This window comes from Homo sapiens, chromosome 17 (assembly GCF_000001405.40).
Source record: "Homo sapiens chromosome 17, GRCh38.p14 Primary Assembly".
Classification (NCBI taxonomy): Eukaryota; Metazoa; Chordata; class Mammalia; order Primates; family Hominidae; genus Homo; species Homo sapiens.
In genome coordinates, this window is record NC_000017.11 from 44,224,535 (window position 1) to 44,247,260 (window position 22,726).

The 22,726-nt window shown below is 49.7% G+C and overlaps 1 pseudogene, besides 3 other annotated features; it reads right to left on the reverse strand.

Moving 5' to 3' along the window:
- Positions 2,429-5,538, reverse strand: SHC1P2 (SHC adaptor protein 1 pseudogene 2; annotated as a pseudogene).
- Positions 10,613-10,813: a silencer, noted in NCBI's record as "peak2857 fragment used in MPRA reporter construct". NCBI's record gives its function as "represses an SCP1 promoter by STARR-seq MPRAs in K562 erythroleukemia cells {active_cell/tissue: K562}" and the evidence as "EXISTENCE:reporter gene assay evidence [ECO:0000049][PMID:32103011]".
- Positions 11,113-11,313: a silencer, noted in NCBI's record as "peak2858 fragment used in MPRA reporter construct". NCBI's record gives its function as "represses an SCP1 promoter by STARR-seq MPRAs in K562 erythroleukemia cells {active_cell/tissue: K562}" and the evidence as "EXISTENCE:reporter gene assay evidence [ECO:0000049][PMID:32103011]".
- Positions 13,217-13,848: an enhancer, noted in NCBI's record as "H3K27ac-H3K4me1 hESC enhancer chr17:42315119-42315750 (GRCh37/hg19 assembly coordinates)". NCBI's record gives its function as "activates a minimal SCP1, AML or CMV promoter by ChIP-STARR-seq in primed H9 embryonic stem cells {active_cell/tissue: H9 hESC(primed)}" and the evidence as "EXISTENCE:reporter gene assay evidence [ECO:0000049][PMID:30033119]".

A 22,726-nucleotide genomic window follows, 5' to 3' on the forward strand; every position in this document is an offset into this window, starting at 1 on the left:
TTACAGGCGTGAGCCACTGCGCCCGGCCTGTCCCTTGTTATTTTTTTATTGCTGTGTAAGTCAGAGATAGTAAAGTACACATACTTTAAGTATACAACTTTTTTTTTTGAGACGGAGCTTTGCTCTTGTCACCCAGACTGGAGTGCAATGGCACGATCTTGGCTCACTGCAACCTCCACCTCCCTGGTTCAAGCAATTCTGCCTCAGCCTCCCGAGTAGCTGGGATTACAGGCATGCGCCACCACGACCAGCTAATTTTTTTGTATTTTTATTTATTTATTTTTTGAGATTGAGTCTAGCTCTGTTGCCCAGGCTGGAGTGCAGTGGCACGATTTCAGCTCACTGCAACCTCCGCCTCCAGGTTTCAGGCGATTCTCCTGCCTCAGCCTCCTGAGTAGCTGGGATTACAAGCGCCCACGACAATGCCCAGCTAATTTTTGTATTTTCAATAAAGACGGGGTTTCGCCATGTTGGCCAGGCTGGTCGCGAACTCCTCACCTCAGGTGATCTGCCTGCGTCAGCCTCCTAAAGTGCTGATTACAGGCAGGAGCCACCCAACCCAGCATAAGTATACAGCTTGATGAACTTTTAGGTATGTATATTTAGTATCATATTACATATGTGTATACCATGTAACCAGCACCCAGATCAAAATATCAAATATTTCTAGCATTTAGCAAGTTTTTTTTTTTTTTTTTTTTTTTTGAGGTGGAGTCTCACTCTGTCACCTAGGCTGGAGTGCAGTGACACGGTCTTGGCTCACTGCCAGCTCTGCCTCCCGGGTTCGTGTCATTCTCCTGCCTCAGCCTCCTGAGTAGCTGGGACTACAGGTGCCCGCCACCATGCCCGGCTAATTTTTTTTTTAATTTTAATTTTTAGTAGAGACGGGGTTTCACCGTGTTAGCCAGGATGGTCTCGATCTCCTGACCTCGTGATCCACCTGCCTCAGTCTCCCAAAGTGCTGGGATTACAGGCGTGAACCACCGCACCTGGCGCATTTAGCAGGTTTACTCAGTATTCCCCTCCAAGTATCATCAATGTTCTGAGGTTCTGAGCTCTATCACCATAGACAAGTTTTACCTGTTCTTGTAGTATTTCCATTGTATAAATATACCACAATTTATCCATTCTACATTTATTTATTTATTTTAAGGTGAAGTCTTGCTATGTTGCCCTAGCTGGTCTTGAACTCTTGAACTCCTGTTTTTTTTTTTGTTTTTTGTTTTGTTTTTTTGAGACGGAGTTTCACTCTTGTTGCCCAGGCTGGAGTGTAATGGCACGATCTCGGCTCACTGCAACCTCTGCCTCCCGGGTTCAAGTGATTTCCGCCTCAGCCTCCCGAGTAGCTGGGATTACAGGCATGAGCCACCACACTTGGCTAATTTTGTATTTTTAGTAGAGACGGGGTTTCTCCATGTTGGTCAGGCTGGTCTCGAACTCCCGACCTCAGGTGATCCGCCCACCTCAGCCTCTCAAAGTGCTGGGATTACAGGCTTGAGCCACTGTGCCCAGTCTTGTTTTTTTCTTGAGACAGAGTCTTGCTCTGTCACCCAAGCTGGAGTACAGTGGTGTGAACTCGGCTCACTGCAACCTCTGCCTCCCAGGCTCAAGCGCTTCTCGTGCCTCAGCCTCCCAAGTAGCTGGGACTACAGGCCTGCACCACTACTCCTGGCCACCTTTTTGTATTTTTAGTAGAGACTGGGTTTCACCATGTTGCCCAGGCTGGTCTTGAACTCCTGACCTCAAATGATCTACCTACCTTGGCCTCCCAAAATGCTGCCTCCATCTCCCAAACTGCTAGGATTACAGGTGTGAGCCACCGCACCTGGCCATAAGTTCAAATTAATTAAAATTAAATAAAATGGAAAATTCAGTTCCTCAGTCACATTTACCATATATCCATGGCCCTATGTGTCTAGTGGCTACATTATTGGATACTAGAGATATAGAACATTTCCTAGGCTGGCGCGGTGGTTCACGCCTGTAATCCCAGCACTTTGGGAGGCCGAGGTGGGTGGATCACCTGAGATCAGGAGTTCGAGATCAGCCTGGCCAACATGGTGAAACCCTATCTGTACTAAAAATACAAAAATTAGCCTGGCGTGGTGGCAAGCACCTGTAATCTCAGTTACTCGGCAGGCTGAGGCAAGAGAATCACTTGAACCTGGGAGGCGGAGCTTGCAGTGAGCGGAGATCCCACCACTGTACTCTAGCCTGGGTGACAGAGCAAGACTCTTCTCAAAAAAAAAAAAAAAAAAGAAAACAATAGAGTGTGGTGATTTGGGGTACATGGTGTGAGGGGATGGCAGGATATGAAGGAAAGGGCAATTGAGTAGAGCTCTTAGAGGTAAAACTCACAAAAATATAGGGCCCCATCTGACCTAGTCCACCTGCAATTTTTATTTTTTATTTATTTATTTTTTATGTTTAGAAGAAATACGGACTTTAATGAAGAGTTTTCCTTTTGCTACAAGTGAGACCCGGGGAAACATCCCAACAACGACAAAAGGAGGCCAGGATGGAAACAGCCCACTCTCTCTTATCCACAAGGCCTAAAGAGAAAGCCCGGCTTGCTGTCGTGTGTCCACTCCGGGCCTAGGCAGGGCTGCGCCTGTAAAAGGTACTCAGGAACTGCAGGTTTTGCATTTCCCCTTTGTGAAACTAACATGCATTTGGGCAAACTTCTGCCTCCCAGTCTCGTGGTAAGAGGCCCAAGTTTTTCTAGTCCTAGGTGGAAATCAGTTTCATCTGCCTCAGGTCTCTGGTATAAATAATAATGCTGCTGATCCCAGTTACCTCACAGGCCTGGGCAACGAAAATGCCAAGAGCTGCAAAAGGTCTTGGAAAATTCAAAAAGGTGATGTATAAATTTAATAATTGATTATCATTTTGTGCTCAAGAATAAGCCATGGAAAACAAAATTAGGAAAGTAAGTCTATATCCCTAAAATATATGCATATAAAATTTTAAAAGAATGCAGTTCCAACTCTGCAGATAGTATTCAGGGATGGTCTACTGCTTTAGAGTCTCAATGCCCCTTTTCCCACCTCCACAAAATCCACCTGGGAGAGTTTACTGTACACGAAGCCCAAATTCAGTCACCCCCCACCCCTCCTCTCCCAGAAAGGGAGGCAGGGCAGAGGCTCCAGGAGGAAGGGCTACATTTTGGCTATAGAGTACAATAGGCATGCATCATGGGAGGGCAGGGTTTATGAAATGGATTGAGGGGCTCTGGCCAGGAGGCACTGAGCAAGGGACAGGTCCATCTTCCCCCTGGCTGGGAGGGGGGCTCTGGGACAATCTCTAAGGGTTGCATATCCCCAGGGAGAGGGGATATATGCCATTCTTGTCTCTATTCTCCCAACCCAAACCAGAGAGGGTGCTGAGCAAGGAGAAAACAGGGTCTCAGAAGCCAAGAAGGTGTCGGCATCACTGTCATTGAATTCAGGGACCCATGAACTCTTTTTTTTTTTTTTTTTGAGATGGAATCTCACTCTGTCGTCCAGGCGGGAGTGTAGTGGTACAATCTTGGCTCACTGCAACCTCCACCTCCCGGGTTCAAGCGATTCTCCTGCCTCAGCCTCCTTAGTAACTAGGATTATAGGTGCATGCCACTACACCCAGCTAATTTTGTACTTTTAGTAGAGACGGGTTTTCGCCATGTTGGCCAGACTGGTCTTGAACTCCTGACCTCAAGTGATCCATCCGCCTCGGCCTCCCAAAGTGCTGGGATTACAGGTGTGAGCCACCACATCTGGCACGAACTCTTTGCATAAAATATCTTCAGACCTAGGAGGTGGTCAAAGGCACAAAGTTTAAACATGGGGTGGGGGTTGTGGAGAGGTGTCTGGGGTACCCTGAAGCTCAGAGGTGTGATTTGTTCCCCCTTGCCCAGAAGGGTGACTGCTCCACTGGGCCTATCACCACAGGACATTTTCCATGACAAGCACTCACCTTCTTGGGGAAGGGACATCGGGTTGGCACAGGAAAGGCGTAGGTAAGGGGCCACTCTGTCCATTAATACTTCGGGTGATTAATGTTTGGGGAGAAGCAAGATTCTCCCCCAGGCTTCTGACTCAAACTCTCTCACTTAGCTGGATACTAAACCCAGTGTCCACACTACCCTCAGCTCTGACACAAGGCCAAACCCACAGAACACTCCCAAATGAGGTCCCGAGAGTTAGGGAATAGGGTGGAATCTTCTGGAAGAGGGCGCTGGGGCAGATCACAGTTTCCACTTCACAGGTTGCTGTAGATACAGTTCACTGCCCACAGAGATGATAGGCCAGTGATTGTCCATGTGGTAGCTGATGAGGTGACTGACACTCTCTTTTTTTTTTTGAGACGGAGTCTCGCTCTGTTGCCCAGGCTGGAGTACAGTGGCGTGATCTCGGCTCACTGCAAGCTCCGCCTCCTGGGTTCACACTATTCTCCTGCCTCAGCCTCCTGAGTAGGGACTACGGGCGCCTGCCACCACGCCCAGCTAATTTTTTGTATTTTTAGTAGAGACCGGGTTTCACCGTATTAGCCAGGATGGTCTCGATCTCCTGACCTTGTGATCTGCCTGGCTTGGTCTCCCAAAGTGCTGGGATTGACACTCTCAAAGCAGTGATCCTTTGTCCAAACCAGTCCTTCAGGGTCCACCAATAGCAGGTGCTTAGGCAGCCCACTCTGCAAGCCAGTAAGCACATACTGGCCTTGGTCATGCTCTCCCGCACCAGGAAGTCGCCATGGAGCTGCAGCAATGCCTCAGCCTCTCGCTGGCTCAGCTTCCCGTGGAACCAGGGCTCCCCTTGGAGCTGCTCAGCCATGGAAACCACTGGGGAGGGGGAGGCACCCAAAGAGCATCTTTAAAGGGCTTCATGTCAAAGAGGTCCCAGGGTGCACTGCGATTGATGGCAGGATGGGGGGGCCTAGCACCACCTTCTGCTTGCCGGGCCTTGTCTAGGTTCTGGACGTTGATATAGGGATCATTGAAGAGCTCTCTGCCTGCTGGACAGGGTGGTGGAGGTGGCATCTGTTTGCGGACTTCTGGATCTCCCCCAGCAGGCTATCCCACAGGCAGTGTAGCTCCCAAGTGGCTGGGGGTCCAGACACTGGGTGGAGTGGGTCAAGCAGCCTCTGAAGTGGCTCCTTCCCGAAGCCTCATGTCTACCAACTCCCCAAGAGAAGGTTCCTTCCCAGGGACGTCATTATAGTACTAATGGTCAGGTGGCTCTTCCTCCTCCTCATCCCAAGCTGATCCATCAAAGCCAGCCATCCTGTCTTGGGGGTGAGCAGTTGGGGTGGGTTCGTGAGGTATTGTTTGAAGCACAACTCGAAGGCCTGGCCAATGGTGCTAATGACATCCTGGGAGGGCCTTTGGGACACTCCAGAATGTGGCAGGCTCTCTGATTCACAGGGTCTTTGGCAACGTAGGCAACATCCTCAGCTGTGTCCTGTTTGCAGTCTGCGGCCATGAGGTTGAGGCTGCTGGTGGAGACGGTGAGAGTGATTGGCATTCCAGCAAATTTCAGGTTACTCCTTCCCAGGATAGAGCTGAGCAGGCAGCTACAGGGCTTTCTCTTCCTTGTCACCCCCTTCACACCCAGCACAGCATCACACACCAGACTGATGGCCTGCCTCCCTGCGTGACCTGAGTTGGGTGTTGAAGTCGAGGGCACGCATTGATTGCAGGACCTCCATATAGCCCATGGAAGTGAGCCTGGGCCATTAGCATCCTCTGCTACAACAGCTGTGGATTGGAGCTAGCAAAGTGAGGACAGGAAGGAAGTGGTCCCAGCGGACATAGAGCAGGGCCAAGAGGAAGAGCAAAGCAGGGCCTCATGGAGTCTCCGCACCGCACCACAGGCCGATTTGATTCCAGATCACACCACTGCCTGCTTAGGTCACCACTCCAACTTTCTCCCCTGGCTCTGCCTCCCTAGAGAAACTTTATTACGCTCACTTCCCGCCTCACTAACCCCTGACCCTCTCCCCCTGCAGTTTTTAACTTTCTGAGTTGCTCACATTGAGCCTACAGCAATTTGTCAATTACACTTCAGGTTTTTCTACCCTGGCACTGGTTCCTGTGGAGGTTACTGCTTGTGAGTTTCTGCTCCCATCAACTGTGATTCTCAGGCTGGGCGTGGTGGCTTATGCCTGTAATCCCAGCACTTTGGGAGGCTGAGGCAGGAGTATTGCTTGAGCCCAGTAGTTCAAGACCAGCCTGGACAACATAGGGAGACCCCATCTCTACCAAAAATTGAAAAATTAGCTGGGTGTGGTGGCTCGTGCTTGTAGTCCCAACTATTAGAGAGGCTGAGATGGAAGAATCGCTTGAGCCCAGGTATTTGAGGCTGCAGTGAGCTATCATTTTGCCACTGTACGCCAGACAGAGCAAGAGCCTGTCGAAGAAAAAAAGAAATTGTGATTTTATCTGACTGTCTCACCAATTTAGGGCATAGCAATTTGCTGTGTGACCCCACTTCTCTGATGGATCTAAGAAGGGTTGATTTTTCAGTTTGTTCAGCTTTTTACTTGTTTGAATGTAGAGGTGATTTCCAAGCTCTTTACATGTTAGACTGGAAACTCTTCTTCCTGTTTTTTTTTTTTTTTTTTTTAAGAGATGAAGTCTTGCTATGTTGCCCAGGCTGATCTTGAACCCCTGGGCTTATAATCCCAACTCCAAAGTGTTGGGATTATAGGCGTGAGCCACCTTGCCCAGTTGAAATCCTCTATTTCGTTTTGAGTGAATTTGGCTGTTTGTGTCTTTCACTCTGTTTAAAAAACTATATATGGGTTGGGTGTGGTAGCGCATGCCTATAATCCCAGCACTTTGGAAGGCCAAAGCAACGGGATTGCTTGAGCCCAGGAGTTTGAGACCAGTCTGGGCAACATAGCAAGACCCTCTCTCTACAAAAAAATACAAAAATTAGCCGGGTATAGTGCCCTCATGCCTGTGATCCCAGCTACTCAGGAGGCTGAGGCAGGAGGATCACTGGAACCCAGGAGGTTGAGGCTGCAGTGAGCCATGATTGCTCCACTGCACTCCAGCGTGGATGACAGAGTGAGACCCTGTCTCAAAAGAAAAGAAAAAAGAAAAAAAATTCCCACACAGCACAGATGATAGGATTTTTTTTATCCTGACGTATAGGAACTTTATTTTACTTTTAAATTTATTTAATTAATTATTATTATTATTTTTTGAGGTGGAGTTTTGCTCTTGTTGCCCAGGCTGGAGTGTAGTAGCGCGATCTCAGCTCATTGCAACCTCTGCCTCCCAGGCTCAAGCAATTCTCCTGCCTCAGCCTCCCAAGTAGCTGGGCGCACCACCACGGCCAGCTAATTTTTGTAGTTTTAGTAGAAACAGGGTCTCACCATGTTGGCCAGGCTGGTCTCAAACTCCTGGCCTCAAGCGATCCGCCTGCCTCAGCCTCCCAAAGTGCTGGGATTACAGGAGTGAGCCACCGCGCCCTGCCAATAGGAATTTTACCATTTCGTTTAAGTTGTCAAATGTATGGGTATTTATGTTTGTAGTATTCCTTTGTTATTCTTTTAATGTTTTTAGGGTCTGTAGTGATGTCTTCCATTTCTGTTATTTATAATTTGTGTCTCTTCTCTGTTTTTCTTGGTCAGTCTGACCAAAGGTTTATAAATTTTACTCATTTTTTTTCAGAGAACTAGCTTTTCGTTTCATTGATTTCCTCTACTGTTTGTTCTTAATTTCATTGATTTTTTTTTTTTTTTTTGAGTGACTCACTCAGTTACCCAGGCTGGAGTGCAGTGGTGCTATCTCGGCTCACTGCAAACTCTGTCTCTCAGGTTCAAGCGGCTGTGCCATCTCAGCCTCCCGAGTAGCCAGGACGATAGGTGTGCACCACCATGCCCGGCTAATTTTTGTATTTTTATTAGAGATGGGGTTTCACCATGTTGGCCGGGCTGGTCTCGAACTCCTGACCTCAAGTGACCCACCTGTCTTGGCCTCCCAAAGTGCTGGGATTACAGACCTGAGCCACCAAGCCTGGCCAATTTCATTGATTTCTATTCTATCTTTATTATTTCCTTCCTTTTGTCTGCTTTGGGTTTAATTTGCTCATTTTTTCTAGTTTCTTATAGCAGGAGTTTAGGTTATTGATTTGAGATATTTCTTATTTTCTTTTTCTTTCTTTCTTTCTTTCTTTCTTTTTTTTTTTTTTTTTTTGAGATGGAGTCTCACTCTGTTGACCTCAAATGATCCGCCTGCCTTAGCCTCCCAAAGTGCTGAGATTACAGGCGTGAGCCTGCTCGCCTGGCCTCTTATTTTTTAATCTAGGTATTTAATGCTCTGTTTCCCCCTAAGCACTACTTCATTGCATCTCACAAATTTTGATATGTTTTCATCCTCCTTTAGTTCAAAATATTTCTCAATTTCACTTATGACTTTAGCTTTGGTCTATGGGTTATTTAGAAGTGCATTGTTTTACTTTCCAAATACTTAGGGATTTGTGGCCTGGCGCTGTGGCTCATGCCTGTAATCCCAACACTTTGGGAGGCCAAGGCGAGCAGATCATTTGAGGTCAGGAGTTTGAGAGCAGCCTGGCCAACATGGTAAAACCCCGTTGTCTCTATTAAAAATACAAAAATTAGCTGGTCATAGTGGCACACACCTGTAATCCCAGCTACTTGGGAGGCTGAGGCAGGAGAATTGCTTGAACCCGGGAGGCGGAGGTTGCAGTGAGCCGAGATCGCGCCACTGTACTCCAGCCTGGGCGACAGAGAGAGACTCTATCTCAAAACAAACAGAAACAAATATTTAGGGATTTGCTAGATGTCTTTCTGTTATTGATTTATAATTTAATAATGTTATGAACATAGGCTATGTTTTCTGTGATTTCCATTCCTTTAAATTTGTTAAGGTTTGTGTTTGTGGCCCAGAATGTTGTCTATTTTAAGGTGAATGATCCATGGGCATTTGAAAAGAATATGTATTCTGCTGTAGTTGGGTGGAGTGTACCCTAAAGATAAATTAGGTCAAGTTGGTTGCTGGTGCTATTTAGGTGTTCTATATCCTTCATGATTTTCTGTCCACTAGTTCTATCAATTATTGAGAGAGTAGTGGTAGTTCCTGCCATAATGGTAGATTTATCTGTTTCTCCTTTCAGTTCCATTAGTTTTAACTTCATGTATTTTGAAGTTTTGTTTAAAAAATTATATAAGGGCCAGATGGAATGACTCATGCCTATAATCCCAGCACTCTGGGAGGTCGAGGTGGGAGGATCGCTTGGGCCCAGGAGTTTGAGACCAGCCTACGCAACATAGGAAGACCTTGTCTCTACAAAATTTTATTTTTTAATTGGCTGGGTGTGGTGGTGGGTGCCTGTCGTCCTAGCTACTCCAGAGGCTGAGGTAGGAGGATTACTGGAGCCTGGGGGGTTGAGGCTGCAGTGAGCCATGATTGAGCCACTGTACTCCAGCCTAGGCGACAGAGCGGGACGCTGTCTAAAATTTAAAAAAAATAAAATGCACACACATATATAGACATGCTCTATTTTAAAATATATGTAAGGTAGGCTTGGCGCAGTGGCTCACGCCTGTAATCCCAGCACTTTGGGAGCCTGAGATGGGTGAAATCACTTGAGTCCAAGAGTTCGAGACCAGCCTGGGCAACATGATGAAACCCTACCTCTACCAAAAATACAAAAAATTAGCTGGATGTACTGAAACATGCCTGTAGTCCCAGCTACTAGGGAGGCTGAGGTGGGAAAATCACTTGAGCCCAGGAGGTGGAGGTTGCAGTGAGCCAAGATCGTGCCACTGCACTCCAGCCTGGGAGACAGAGCGAGACCCTGTCTCAAAAAAAAAAAAAAAAAAGGAAAAATATATATGTAAATTAGTGTTCACATATAATAAATCTGGAGGAATATACTCTAAATTATTAACAGTCATTACTGGAGGTTTTTTTGTTTTTTGTTTTGTGTTTTTAGAAACAGCCTCCCACTCTGTCTTACTCTGCTGGAGAGCAGTGGTACCATCATAGCTCACTGCAGCCTCAAAGTCCTGGGCTCAAGTGATCCTCCCACCTTAGCCTCTCGAGTAGCTGGGACTACAGGTGAACACCACCACACCTGGCTAATTTTTAAATTTTTAGTAGACACAAAGTCTCACCATGTTGCCCAGGCTGGTCTTGAACTCCTGACCTCAAGTGATCCTCCTGCCTCGGCCTCCCAAACTGCTGGGATTACAGGCATGCGCCACCACACTTGGCCAAATTACTGGAGATTTTTATTCTGTATGTTAAATCATTCTGTAATTTAAGTGTTTTATACATGTATTATTTTTGAAATCTGAAAATACAAAGATATGTTTTAATGGAAGTAGAGAGATGATTTGATGTGTGTGAGTGTGCATGTGTCCCCCAGCCTGAAAAGCATTTTCTGGTCCATCTTGGGAAAAAGTCAGCTGAGCACTCCTGCTGGGCCCTCAGGCCATAACCCACACCTCCTGCTTCTGCTTCCTCACCCAGCCCTTCCTTCCTTACCTCCTGTCAGCTGGCTCTGGGCCCAGGTACATGGGAAAGAAAACCTTCTGAGGTCACCATGTGGTCTGCCAACCCAGCAGGCTTTCCATGATGTCACTTCACTTTGCTGAGCAAATTTCACCCATTTCTCTTCAGGCTACTTCTCAGATATATTCCATTTCATAGACTCTATTCCTTCAAGATATTCCACCTCTCTCATCACTGGGACAGTTACTGCTTGTCCCTCAGGAGTCAGATCAAATGTCTCTCCCTCCAAGAAGCCCTGCCTTACTCCAGCTCCCTCTGCTCCTGCCACTCCCTGCACAATACTAGTGTTTTCTTTTGTTTTGTTTTTGAGACAAGGTCTCACTCTGTCACCCAGGCTGGAGTGCAGTGGCGCGATCACGGCTCACTGAAGCCTTGACCTCCTGGGCTCAAGTGATCCTCCCACTGCAGCCTCTGGAATACTGAGACTATAGGCGCTTGCCACCACGCCTGGCCACAATTTTTTTTTTTTTTTGAGACAGGGTTTTGCCACATTGCCCAGGCTGGTCTCAAACTCCTGGGCTCAAGGCATCTGCCCACCTCAGCCCCTCCCAAGGTGCTGGGATTACAGGCGTGAGCACCATGGCCAGCCAGTGCTCACTCTTGCTGAACGTCGGGCCCCATGCTGACTGCAGGTCCTATGATAGCATGGGCTATGTCAGCCCGCCTCTGCTACTGACTCACTGACATGCACAGATTCCCAGTTTGCCTCCTTACAGCGAATTCCTCCTGTATGAATTCACTTCCAGGTGAATCACTTTAATCATGTCACTTCCCAGCCCAAGAACCTGCAAGACTCCCTAATGCCTCCTGAATCAAGTCCAAACCCTTCTGGGCAGTTAGGGTTCTTCAAACTTGACCTTGCTTTTTCCATCTTATATGAACCTCTTCTAGAAGGACTCACCTCTGCAGTCAAGACTTCCCTGTGCTGTCGATACACCATTCCCACCTCCCTGCCCTTGGCCAAACCACTCCCCTACCTACCTGGAAGGTACCCCACCCTCCATTCTCCCTGACCCTTGAGAACAAATTGAATTCCTTTCTTTTTGAGACGGAGTTTTGCTCTTGTCGCCCAGGCTGGAGCGCACTGGCACCATCTCATCTCGGCTCACTGCAACCTCCACCTCCCGGGTTCAAGCAATTGTCCTGCCTCAGCCTCCCAAGTAGCTGGGATTACAGGTGCACGCCCCCACACCCGGCTATTTTTTGTATATTTAGTAGAGACAGGGTTTCACCATGTTGGCCAGACTGGTCTCAAACTCCTGACCTCAGGTGATCCGCCCACCTCAGCCTCCCAAAGTGCTGGGATTACAGATGTGAGCCACCGTGCATGCCCCCAACTTGAATTCTATCCAGTGTCCAAAGTCTAGTTCCTCTTCTCCACAAGCATTCTGTCTCTGGACTTCATAAGCTTGATGGCATAGAGGTGTAGAAGGACACCAGGCTCTTGGTCAAACAGCCGTGCATCTGAATCCTACCCTGCCTCTTAGAAGCCGTATGAGCTAGGGTGAGTTCCTTATCTTCTCTGTGCTTCAGTTTCCTTATCAGTAAGATGGGGCTAAAGCCGACCTCACAGGGTTATTGTGAGGAGGAAAAGAGTAAGAACACGGAAAGCACCTGGAACTGTGCCTAGCACATAGTATGTGCTCAATAAATACTGAAAGCTACTTCTTCAGCCCATTCTGCTCTCTGCCCTCTCAATTTCCACAGCTCATGTCCCTGCAGCCTGCCAGCCCTGGGTCACATCCTGTCACACAGCCCTAGAACTGTTCCATATGGTCAGCAAAACTGAGAACCCAGACCCCTCATATACAAAGAGACAGAAACAAACCTCTCAAATATGACACACCTTGTTAGCAGTGATCAGAGGAGAAAAGGGTTTATTACCCAGTCCCGGAGTGACACCATCCCCCACCCAACAACTCTCAACAACTTGATAGGGCCCAAAGAGGGAAGGGGCCTAGAAGACTGAGAGCAAAAGAGAAAGGTGAGGCTGGCCAGGCACAGTGGCTCATGCCTGTAATCCCAGCACTTTGGGAGGTCCAGGCGGGCAGATCACCTGAGGTCAGGAGTTTGCCAGCCTGGCCAACATGGTGAAACTGTATCTCTACTAAAAATACGAGAATTAAACTGGCATGGTGGCGGGCGCCTGTATTCCCAGCTACTTGGGAGGCTGAGGTAGGAGAATCGCTTGAACCCGGAAGGTGGAGGTTGCGGTGAGCCGAGACCCTGCCACCATGCTGTTGCACTCCAGCCTGGGTGACAAGAGCCAAACTCCATCTCAAAAAAAAAAACAAAAAAAACGAGAAAGGTGAGACCTTTAAGAGATGATAGGAGCCCCTCTCCCTCTCCCTCTCCCTCTCCCTCCTCTCCCTCTCCCTCTCTTTCCACGGTCTCCCTCTCATGCCGAGCCGAAGCTGGACTGTGCTGCTGCCATCTCGGCTCACTGCAACCTCCCTGCCTGATTCTCCTGCCTCAGCCTGCCGAGTGCCTGCGATCGCAGGCGCGCGCCGCCACGCCTGACGGGTTTTCGTATTTTTTTGGTGGAGACGGGGTTTCGCTGTGTTGGCCGGGCTGGTCTCCAGCTCCTAACCGCGAGTGATCCGCCAGCCTCGGCCTCCCGAGGTGCCGGGATTGCAGACGGAGTCTCGTTAACTCAGTGCTCAACGGTGCCCAGGCTGGAGTGCAGTGGCGTGATCTCGGCTACAACCTCCACCTCCCAGCCGCCTGCCTTGGCCCCCCAAAGTGCCGAGATTGCAGCCTCTGCCCGGCCGCTACCCCGTCTGGGAAGTGAGGAGCGTCTCTGCCTGGCCGCGCATAGTCTGGGATGTGAGGAGCCCCTCTGCCTGGCTGCCCAGTCTGGAAAGTGAGGAGAGTCTCTTCCCGGCCACCATCCCATCTAGGAAGTGAGGAGCGTCTCTGCCCGGCCGCCCATCCTCTGAGATGTGGGGAGCGCCTCTGCCCCGCCGCCCCGTCTGGGATGTGAGGAGCACCTCGGCCCGGCCGCGACCCCGTCTGGGAGGTGAGGAGCGTCTCTGCCCGGCCACCCCGTCTGAGAAGTGAGGAGACCCTCCACCTGGCAACTGCCCCATCTGAGAAGTGAGGAGCTCCTCCGCCCGGCTGCCACCCCGTCTGGGAAGTGAGGAGCGTCTCCGCCCGGCAGCCACCCCGTCCGGAAGGGAGGTGGGGGTCAGCCCCCGCCAGGCCAGCCGCCCCGTCCGGGAGGGAGGTGGGGGGTCAGCCCCCCACCCGGCCAGCCACCCCGTCCGGGAGGTGAGGGCGCCTCTGCCCGGCCGCCCCTACTGGGAAGTGAGGAGCCCCTCTGCTCGGCCAGCCGCCCCATCCGGGAGGGAGGTGGGGGAGTCAGCCCCCCGCCCGGCCAGCCGCCCCGTCCGGGAGGGAGGTGGGGGGGTCAGCCCCCCGCCCGGCCAGCCGCCCCGTCCGGGAGGGAGGTGGGGGGGTCAGCCCCCCGCCCAGCCAGCCGCCCCGTCCGGGAGGTGAGGGGCGCCTCTGCCCGGCCGCCCCTACTGGGAAGCGAGGAGCCCCTCTGCCCGGCCAGCCGCCCCGTCCGGGAGGGAGGTGAGGGGATCAGCCCCCCGCCCAGCCAGCCGCCCTGTCTGGGAGGTGAGGGGCGCCTCTGCCCGGCCGCCCCTACTGGGAAGTGAGGAGCCCCTCTGCCCGGCCAGCCGCCACGTCCGGGAGGGAGGTGGGGGGGGGTCAGCCCCCCCGCCTGGCCAGCCGCCCCGTCCGGGAGGGAGGTGGGGGGGTCAGCCCCCCGCCCGGCCAGCCACCCCGTCCGGGAGGGAGGTGGGGGGGTCAGCCCCCCGCCCGGCCAGCCGCCCCGTCTGGGAGGGAGGTGGGGGGGTCAGCCCCCCGCCAGGCGAGACGCCTCGTCCGGGAGGGAGGTGGGGGGTCAGCCCCCTGCCCGGCCAGCCGCCCCGTCCGGGAGGTGAGGGGCGCCTCTGCCCGGCCGCCCCTACTGGGAAGTGAGGAGCCCCTCTGCCCGGCCACCACCCCGTCTGGGAGGTGTACCCAACAGCTCATTGAGAACGGGCCATGATGACAATGGCGGTTTTGTGGAATAGAAAAGGGGGAAAGGTGGGGAAAAGATTGAGAAATCGGATAGTTGCTGTGTCTGTGTAGAAAGAAGTAGACATGGGAGACTTTTCATTTTGTTCTGTACTAAGAAAAATTCTTCTGCCTTGGGATCCTGTTGATCTATGACCTTACCCCCAACCCTGTGCTCTCTGAAACATGTGCTGTGTCCACTCAGGGTTAAATGGATTAAGGGCGGTGCAAGATGTGCTTTGTTAAACAGATGCTTGAAGGCAGCATGCTCGTTAAGAGTCATCACCACTCCCTAATCTCAAGTACCCAGGGACACACACACTCTGCCTAGGAAAACCAGAGACCTTTGTTCACTTGTTTATCTGCTGACCTTCCCTCCACTATTGTCCTATGACCCTGCCAAATCCCCCTCTGCGAGAAACACCCAAGAATGATCAATAAAAAATAAATAAATAAATAAATAAATAAATAAATAAAAAGAGATGATAGGAGCCGGGTGTGGTGGCTCACGGCTATAATCCCAGCACTTTGGGAGGCCGAGGCAGGCGGATCACAAGGTCAGGAGTTCCAGGCCAGCCTGGCCAATATGGTGAAACCCCGTCTCTACTAAAAATACAAAAATTAGCTGGGCGTGGTGGTGGGCACCTGTAGTCCCAGCTACTCAGGAGGCTGAAGCAGGAGAATTGCTTGAACCCAGGAGGCGGAGATTGCAGTGAGCTGAGATAGCGCCACTGCACTCCAGCCTGGGCGACAGAGCGAGAGATGATAGGGATCTTGAGGGCCGCCCTCATGAATGGATTAATTCATTCATAATTAATGGTTAGAGGGGAACTGATAGCTTTATAAGAAGATAAACCTGAATTAGCATGTTAGCAAGCGCAGTCCCCTGACCATGTGATGTGATGCCCTGCATGGCCACAGGGCACCACAGAGAGTTTCCAAGTTCCAGGCTCTGCCTCTCTCCAACAAAGAGGAGTGGGGTTCCTATCCCTGGTTCTTACTCTTCAAGACCTCTCCCAAGTTTCCAACCCCACCCTGGCCTCAACATTGGACTTAGGGTGCAGTCTTCCCATAAACTGCTAGGAACAGGGGGGTCGGGTGTAGGTGGGAGGAGGAAAGAAATGCTCAACCTAAAGTCTCTGCTTCTGGGATCTTCCACTCAGCTGGGAGAGATTAGACGTGCATAAGCAACAAAAATGAAAATAGACAGTGCTGCACAACTTTAAGAATAAATATAGGCCTGCCTGGTGGCTCACTCCTGTAGTTCCAGAACTTTGGGAGGCTGAGGTAGGAGGATCGCTTGAGCTCAGGAGTTTGAGATCTGCCTGGGCAACATGGTGAGACTCCATCTCTATAAAAAATACAAAATTTAGCCAGGCGTGGTGGTGTGTGCCTATAGTCCCAGCTACTCAGGAGGCTGAAGTGGGAGGATCCCTTTAGCGTGGGAGGTAGAGGTTGCAATGAGCCGAGATCACACCATTGCATTCCGGCCTGGGCAAGAGAGCGACAGAGTGAGATACTTTCAAAAAAAAAGAATAAATATAAACCTAGGGCTTGGGAGACCAGTAGTGGGAGCCCTCATGGACATAAAGGATAAAGGAAGAGGTAGCATTCCAGCCTCAGCCTTTGGACTTGTTAGGGTAGATGGTCTTTCTCATTAAAATAAGACCAGGCACGGTGGCTCATGCCTGTAATCCCAGCACTTTGGGAGGCCAGGGTGGGTGGATCACTTGAGGTCAGGTGTTCGTGACCAGCCTGGCCAACATGGTGAAAGCCTGTCTCTACTAAAAAAAAATACAAAAATTAGCCGGGTATGGTGGCGGTCGCCTGTAGTCCCAGCTACTTGGGAGGCTGAAGCATGAGAATTGCTTGAACCTGGGAAATGGAGGTTGCAGTGAGCTGAGATCGCACCTCTGCACTCCAGTCTGGGCGACAGAGCGAAACTGTTAAAAAAAAAAAAAAAAAAAGATGTGCCAACAACATTAAAAACATTCAAGCAATCTCAATTAAATTTCCAATTGAATTTTTTGGAAGACTACAATAAGCGTAAGAATAAGGCCCTCATTATAGCTAAATTATCTTTATGAAAAAGAGAGGCGTTTGGTTGGAGACATTTTAGTCTGCTTTGAATATCCCTGGCTTCTTCCCGTTTTGGGGCCTCTTTGAAGTTAGGCAGGGCCACATGACTAGTTCTGGTCAATGGGCTGTAAGCACAGTGACTTTGTCATTGCCCAGCTCAGGCATTTAAGAGCTTGTGTGAATCCTCCAGCCCTTTCTTCTTCTGCCAAAGTGACCTGGAAGTCATATATTTCAGTTTCGCCACAGATATAATCAGCTTGGATTCATGAACCCCGCATGAAGGAAGCTGCCACGGAGAAATGCAGTGGATCTTGTGTAAGTGGGAGATAAAGATTCATGGATTAAGCCACTGAGATTTGGGGTTATTGCCACAAGATAATCTACTCTATCCTAATACAAGGAGGACTTGGTCTACCAGATATTAAGGCATTCTCTAAAACTTTAATAATAAAGAGCCGTGAAATAGTCTGAAGAAACACAATGGAGAAGACAGAGACAGGACTCCATATATGAGATCTTTTTTTTTTTGAGAAGGAGTTTTGCTCTTGTTGCCCAGGCTGGAGTGCAATGGTGTGATCTTGGCTCACTGCAACCTCTGCCTCCCGGGTTCAAGTGATTCTCCTGCCTCAGCCTCCTGAGTAGCTGGGACTACAGGTGCCCGCCATCACACCCAGCTAATTTTTGTATTTTTAGTAGAGACGGGGTTTCACCATATTGACCAGGCTGGTCTCGAGTTCCTGACCTCGTGATCCGCCCGCCTCGGCCTCCCAAAGTGGTGGAATTACAGGCGTGAGCCACCGCGACCGGAGAGATGTAGGGCTTTTTTTTTTTTTTTTTTTTTTTTGGTGGGGGAGGGAGTTTCGCTCTTGTTGCCCAGGCTGGAGTGCAGTGGCGCTATCTTGGCTCACCGCAACCTCCGCCTCCCCGGTTCAAGCGATTCTCCTGCCTCAGCCTCCCGAATAACTGGGATTACAGGCATGCACCACCACGCCCAGCTAATTATATATATATATTTTGTTTGTCTGTTTGTTTGTTTGTTTTGAGACAGAGTCTCGCTCTGTCACCCAGGCTGTAGTGCAGTGGCACGATCTCGGCTCACTGAAAGCTCTGCCTCCTGGGTTCACGCCATTCTCTTGCCTCAGCCTCCCGAGTAGCTGGGACTACAGGCGCCTGCCACCACGCCCCCTACCACCACGCCCCGCTAATTTTTTGTATTTTTAGTAGAGACGGGGTTTCACCGTGTTAGCCAGGATGGTCTCAATCTCCTGACGTCGTGATCCGCCTGCCTTGGCCTCCCAAAGTGCTGGGATTACAGGCGTGAGCCACTGCGCCTGGCCTAATTTTGTATTTTTAGTAGATACGGGGTTTCTCCATGTCGGTCAGGCTGGTCTTGAACTTCCGACCTCAGGTGATCTGCCCACCTCGGCCTCCCAAAGTTCTGGATTACAGGCATGAGCCATTGCCCCAGCCAAGAGGTAGGGCTCTTAAGAGATGATTGGGTCATGAAGGCTCTGCCTTCATGAATGGACTGATCCATTCATGGATTAATGAATTAATGGATTAATGGATTAGTGAGTTATCATGGGAGGGGAACTGGTGGCTTTGTCAAAAAAGAAAGGCCAGGCGTGGTGGCTCATGCCTGTAATCCCCAGCACTTTGGGAGGCCAAGGTGGGAGGATCGCTTGAGCCAAGGAGTTGGAGAGCAGCCTGGGCAACATGGCAAGACCCTATCTTTACAAAAAAATTTTAGTTGGGCATGGTGGCACGTGCCTGTGGTCCCAGCTACCAGGGAGGCTGAGGCGGGAGGATCCCTTGAGCCTGGGAGGTGAAGGCTGCGATGAGCTGTGATTGTGCCACTGTACTCCAGCCTGGGTGAGAGTGAGATCCCATCTCAAAAAAAAAAAAAAAAAAAAAAAAAAAAAAGAAAAGAAAAAGAAACGAAAAAAAAAAAGAGGAACCAACAGATCAAGATCTAGAACATAATGCTGATTATGTATAGAAATACACACACGTGACAAACCAAGTGTAAAGGTACATTTTGAGACAATTTAGATATGTTGGTTATGGATTAGATATGAGATGATATGAAGGTATTACTGCTAATTTTGTTGGGTGTGATAGCATTGTGGTTAGGTTCAATGATGGGGGCATGCATAGCTAAAGAATATAGGGGTGAGGCCGGGTGCGGTGGCTAATGCCTGTAATCCAGCCCTTCGGGAGGCCGAGGTGGGTGGATCACAAGGTCAGGAGATCGAGACCATCCTGGCTAACACGGTGAAACCCTGTCTCTACTAAAAATACAAAAAATTAGCTGGGCGTGGTGGTGAGCGCCTGTAGTCCCAGCTACTCGGGAGGCTGAGGCAGGAGAATGGTGTGAACCTGGGAGGCAGAGCTTGCAGTGAGCCAAGATCATGCCACTGTACTCCAGCCTGGGCAACAGAGCGAGACTGTCTCCAAAAAAAAAAAAAAAAAAAAAAAAAAACAATATAGGGGTGAAATGGCATCAAGTATGGGATTTAAAGTATTTCAGCAAAGGATAAAAAGAGGAAGATAAAGCAAATGTATTATTTTCGGCAAAGATTTAAGCAAGATTTCAAGGCGTAATTTTGATAATTTTTGTTTTTATTTTATCATTATTATTATTATTATTATTTTTGACAGAGTCTCACTCTGTCGCCCAGGATGGAGTGCAGTGGTGCCATCTTGGCTCACTTGCCTCCTGGGTTCAAGGGATTCTCCTGCCTCAGCCTCCCGAGTAGCTGGGATTACGGGCACATGCAACCACACCCAACTAATTTTTTTTTTTTTTTTTTGAGACAGAGTCTTGCTCTGTCGCCCAGGCCAGAGTGCAATGGCACGATCTCGGCTCACTGCAACCTCTGACTCCCGGGTTCAAGCGATTCTCCTGCCTCAGCCTCCCGAGTAGCTGGGACTACAGGCACGTGCCACCACACCCAGCTAATTTTTGTATTTTTAGTAGAGGTGGGGTTTCACCATGCTGGCCAGATGGTCTTGATCTCTTGACCTTGTGATCCGCCTGCCTCGGCCTCCCAAAGTGCTGGGATTACAGGCGTGAGCCACCGTGCCCCGCCTAATTTTTGTGTTTTTTAGTAGAGACGGGGTTTTGCCAGTTTGGCCAGGCTGGTCTTGAATTCCTGACCTCAAGTGATCCTCCCGCCTCAGCCTCCCAAAGTGCTGGGATTACAGTGTGAGCCACCGCGCCCGACCTATTTTAGTATTATTTTTTAAGAGAATAAGTTTGGCTCTGTTGTCCAGGCTGGCATGCAGTGGCATGATCTTAGCCTTGAACTCCTGGGCTCAAGCGATCCTCCCCCCTCAACCTCCCACAGTGCTGGGATTACAGACATTAGCCACCATGCCCAGCTGATAATTTCTGAATTTGACAAATGAGTATATTGGGATTCATTCTCTACTTTTGTGTATAAAAATTTTCATAATAAAATTTAAAACAACAACAGTGACACATATTTTCAAGAACCCATTCATATAAAAAGAAACAAATTAAACAAGTTAGAATGGTTGCTGTGGAGGGGGAAGAACATAGGAGTAGGGAATGAAGACAAAAGAGAAGGAGCAGGCCGGGTGTGGTGGCTCACTCCTGTAATCCAGGCACTTTGGGAGAACGAGGCAGGAGGATCACTTGAGGTAAGTCAGGAGTTCGAGACCAGCCTAGGCAACATGGTGAAAACCCATCTGTACTAAAAAATGCAAAAATTAGCCCGGCATGGTGGCAGGCGCCTGTGATCCCAGTTTCTCAGGAGGCTGAGGCAGGAGAATCACTTAAACCCAGGAGGCAGAGGTTGCAGTGAGCCAAGATCATGCCACTGCACTCCAGCCTGGGTGATAGAGCAAGACTCTGTCTCAAAAAAAAAAAAAAAAAAAAAAAAGAAAGAGGGCTGGGCACGGTGGCTCATGCCTGTAATCCCAGCACTTTGGGAGGCCGAGGTGGGCAGATCACGAGGTCAGGAGATCAAGACCATCTGGCTAACACGGTAAAACCCCGTCTCTACTAAAAATACAAAAAATTAGCCGGGTGTGGGTGCGGGTGCCTGTAGTCCCAGCTACTCAGGAGGCTGAGGCAGGAGAATGGCATGAATCTGGGAAGTGGAGCTTGCAGTGAGCTGAGACCGTGCCACTGCACTCCAGCCTGGGCAGCAGAGCGAGACTCCGTCTCAAAAAAAAAAAAAAAAAAAGGATGAAGAAAAGAAGAAATGAGAAAAGAAGGAACGGAAACAAGAACAGTTGATGATAACCTGCCCTGACCTCAGGAGGATGACTAATTTAACCCTCTGCACCTAAAGTCCACAAGAAGGAGAAAAATAAAATGATATCTCCTATAACTCTACCATGGTGGCATTTTAACTTTCTGTCTAAGCCTCGAACCCTCACTCCTGTGCACCCTACTGTATGTTTCTATGTGGCTGTCACCATGAGGAACACATCACTATGAATTTTTGCCTGCGAAAATGCAGCACTGGGCCGGGACTTCTGGATATATGATATCATTTTATCCTCTTAACAACATTGTGAGGTGAGTATCATTATCTCTATTTTACAGATGCCTTTAACCTCAGAGATCAGGCTATTCAGCCAACTCCTACTACTAATAAATCACAAAGCTGGCACTTTGGGAGGCCAAGGTGGGATGATTGCTTGAGGCCAGGAATTCAAAACCAGCCTAGGCAACATAATGAGACCTCATCTATACAAAACAAAATGAAAAAACAAATCACAAAGCTGGTATTCCAAACACCTTGGCCTCAAAGGCCCAGGGTCATGTGATGCCATTAAGTTGATCCAATAGCTTCCTCATAATTATTAAGGTCTGCCTAGTGGTCCATTCTATTGATGGAGGGTAATTTACTGTAATTTACTAACTGCTGTCCTATTTCTGAGTATTTGGGCTCTTTCTAGCTTTCTGCTCACATAGATAGTCCTCTAAATTATCTTCAGGCCCAGAGCTTTTTGAGTCTGTTGAATTACTTCCTTATCAGGGTGGGGTTCCTTTGTGTTCACACACAAATGTTGACCTCATTACAGTAGTTCATTCTCGTTGACATGGTTTTCACAAAAGAGTTGAATGGACAAGCAGGAGTTAAAACCCAGAGACTGGCCAGGTGCGGTGCCTCACGCCTGTAATCCCAGCACCGTGGGAGGCCCAGGCGGATGGATCACGTGAGGTCAGGAGTTCCGGACCAGCCTGGCCAACATGGTGAAACCCCGTCTCTAATAAAAGTACAAAAATTAACCACGGTGGTGGCTTGAGCCTGTAATCCCAGCTACTCGGGAGGCTGAGGCAGGAGAATCTCTTGAACCCAGGAGGTGGAGGTTGCAGTGAGCTGAGATCGTGCCGCTGCACTCCAGCCTGGGCCACAAGAGTGAAACACCGTCTCAAAAAAAAAAAAAAAAAAAAGAAAACTCCCCAAAAAACCCAGAGACTGTGTGTGTGTGTGTGTGTGTGTGTGTGTGTGTGTGTCTGTGTGTCTGTGTGTTGGGGGATGGGGGATCATGTGAGGTACAGGAAGTTGGGGTAGTGTGAGGCCTCCGGCCAGGCAGGAAGTCAGTCTGGGGGGATTCCTGTGTCCCCCACATTTCCCTAATGCCTTCCTGGCCCAAGCTGTTTGGGGTCTGAGGTGCAACAAGGGGAATTAGGCAGGCTGTGGTCCAGCCACTCTCTCTTTGCCCTGATACCCCGCCCCTACCCCAGGCCCCCTCTACTCCCTCAAGAAGGCCTCCGAATCTTCTCTAAGGGTGGGAGGAGTGGGATGGATGAGCAGAAACCTGAAGTCTGCACACCCTCGCTCTGCTCCCTGGCTCTCTGTTCTTAAGGCCCAGCTTCCCGTGCTGGACATCACCTGGGGATCTGGTTAAAATGCAGATTCTTATTTCTCAACTCTGGGGCAGGGCCTGAGCTCCTAGATTACTGGCAAGCTCCCTAGAAATGGCACTGCTGCTGGTCCCAGAGCCCCACTGTGTAGCAATGCCCTAGGGATTCTGGCCAGGGTCCCAGCCTCCCCTGCTGCCCAAGCTCCAGGT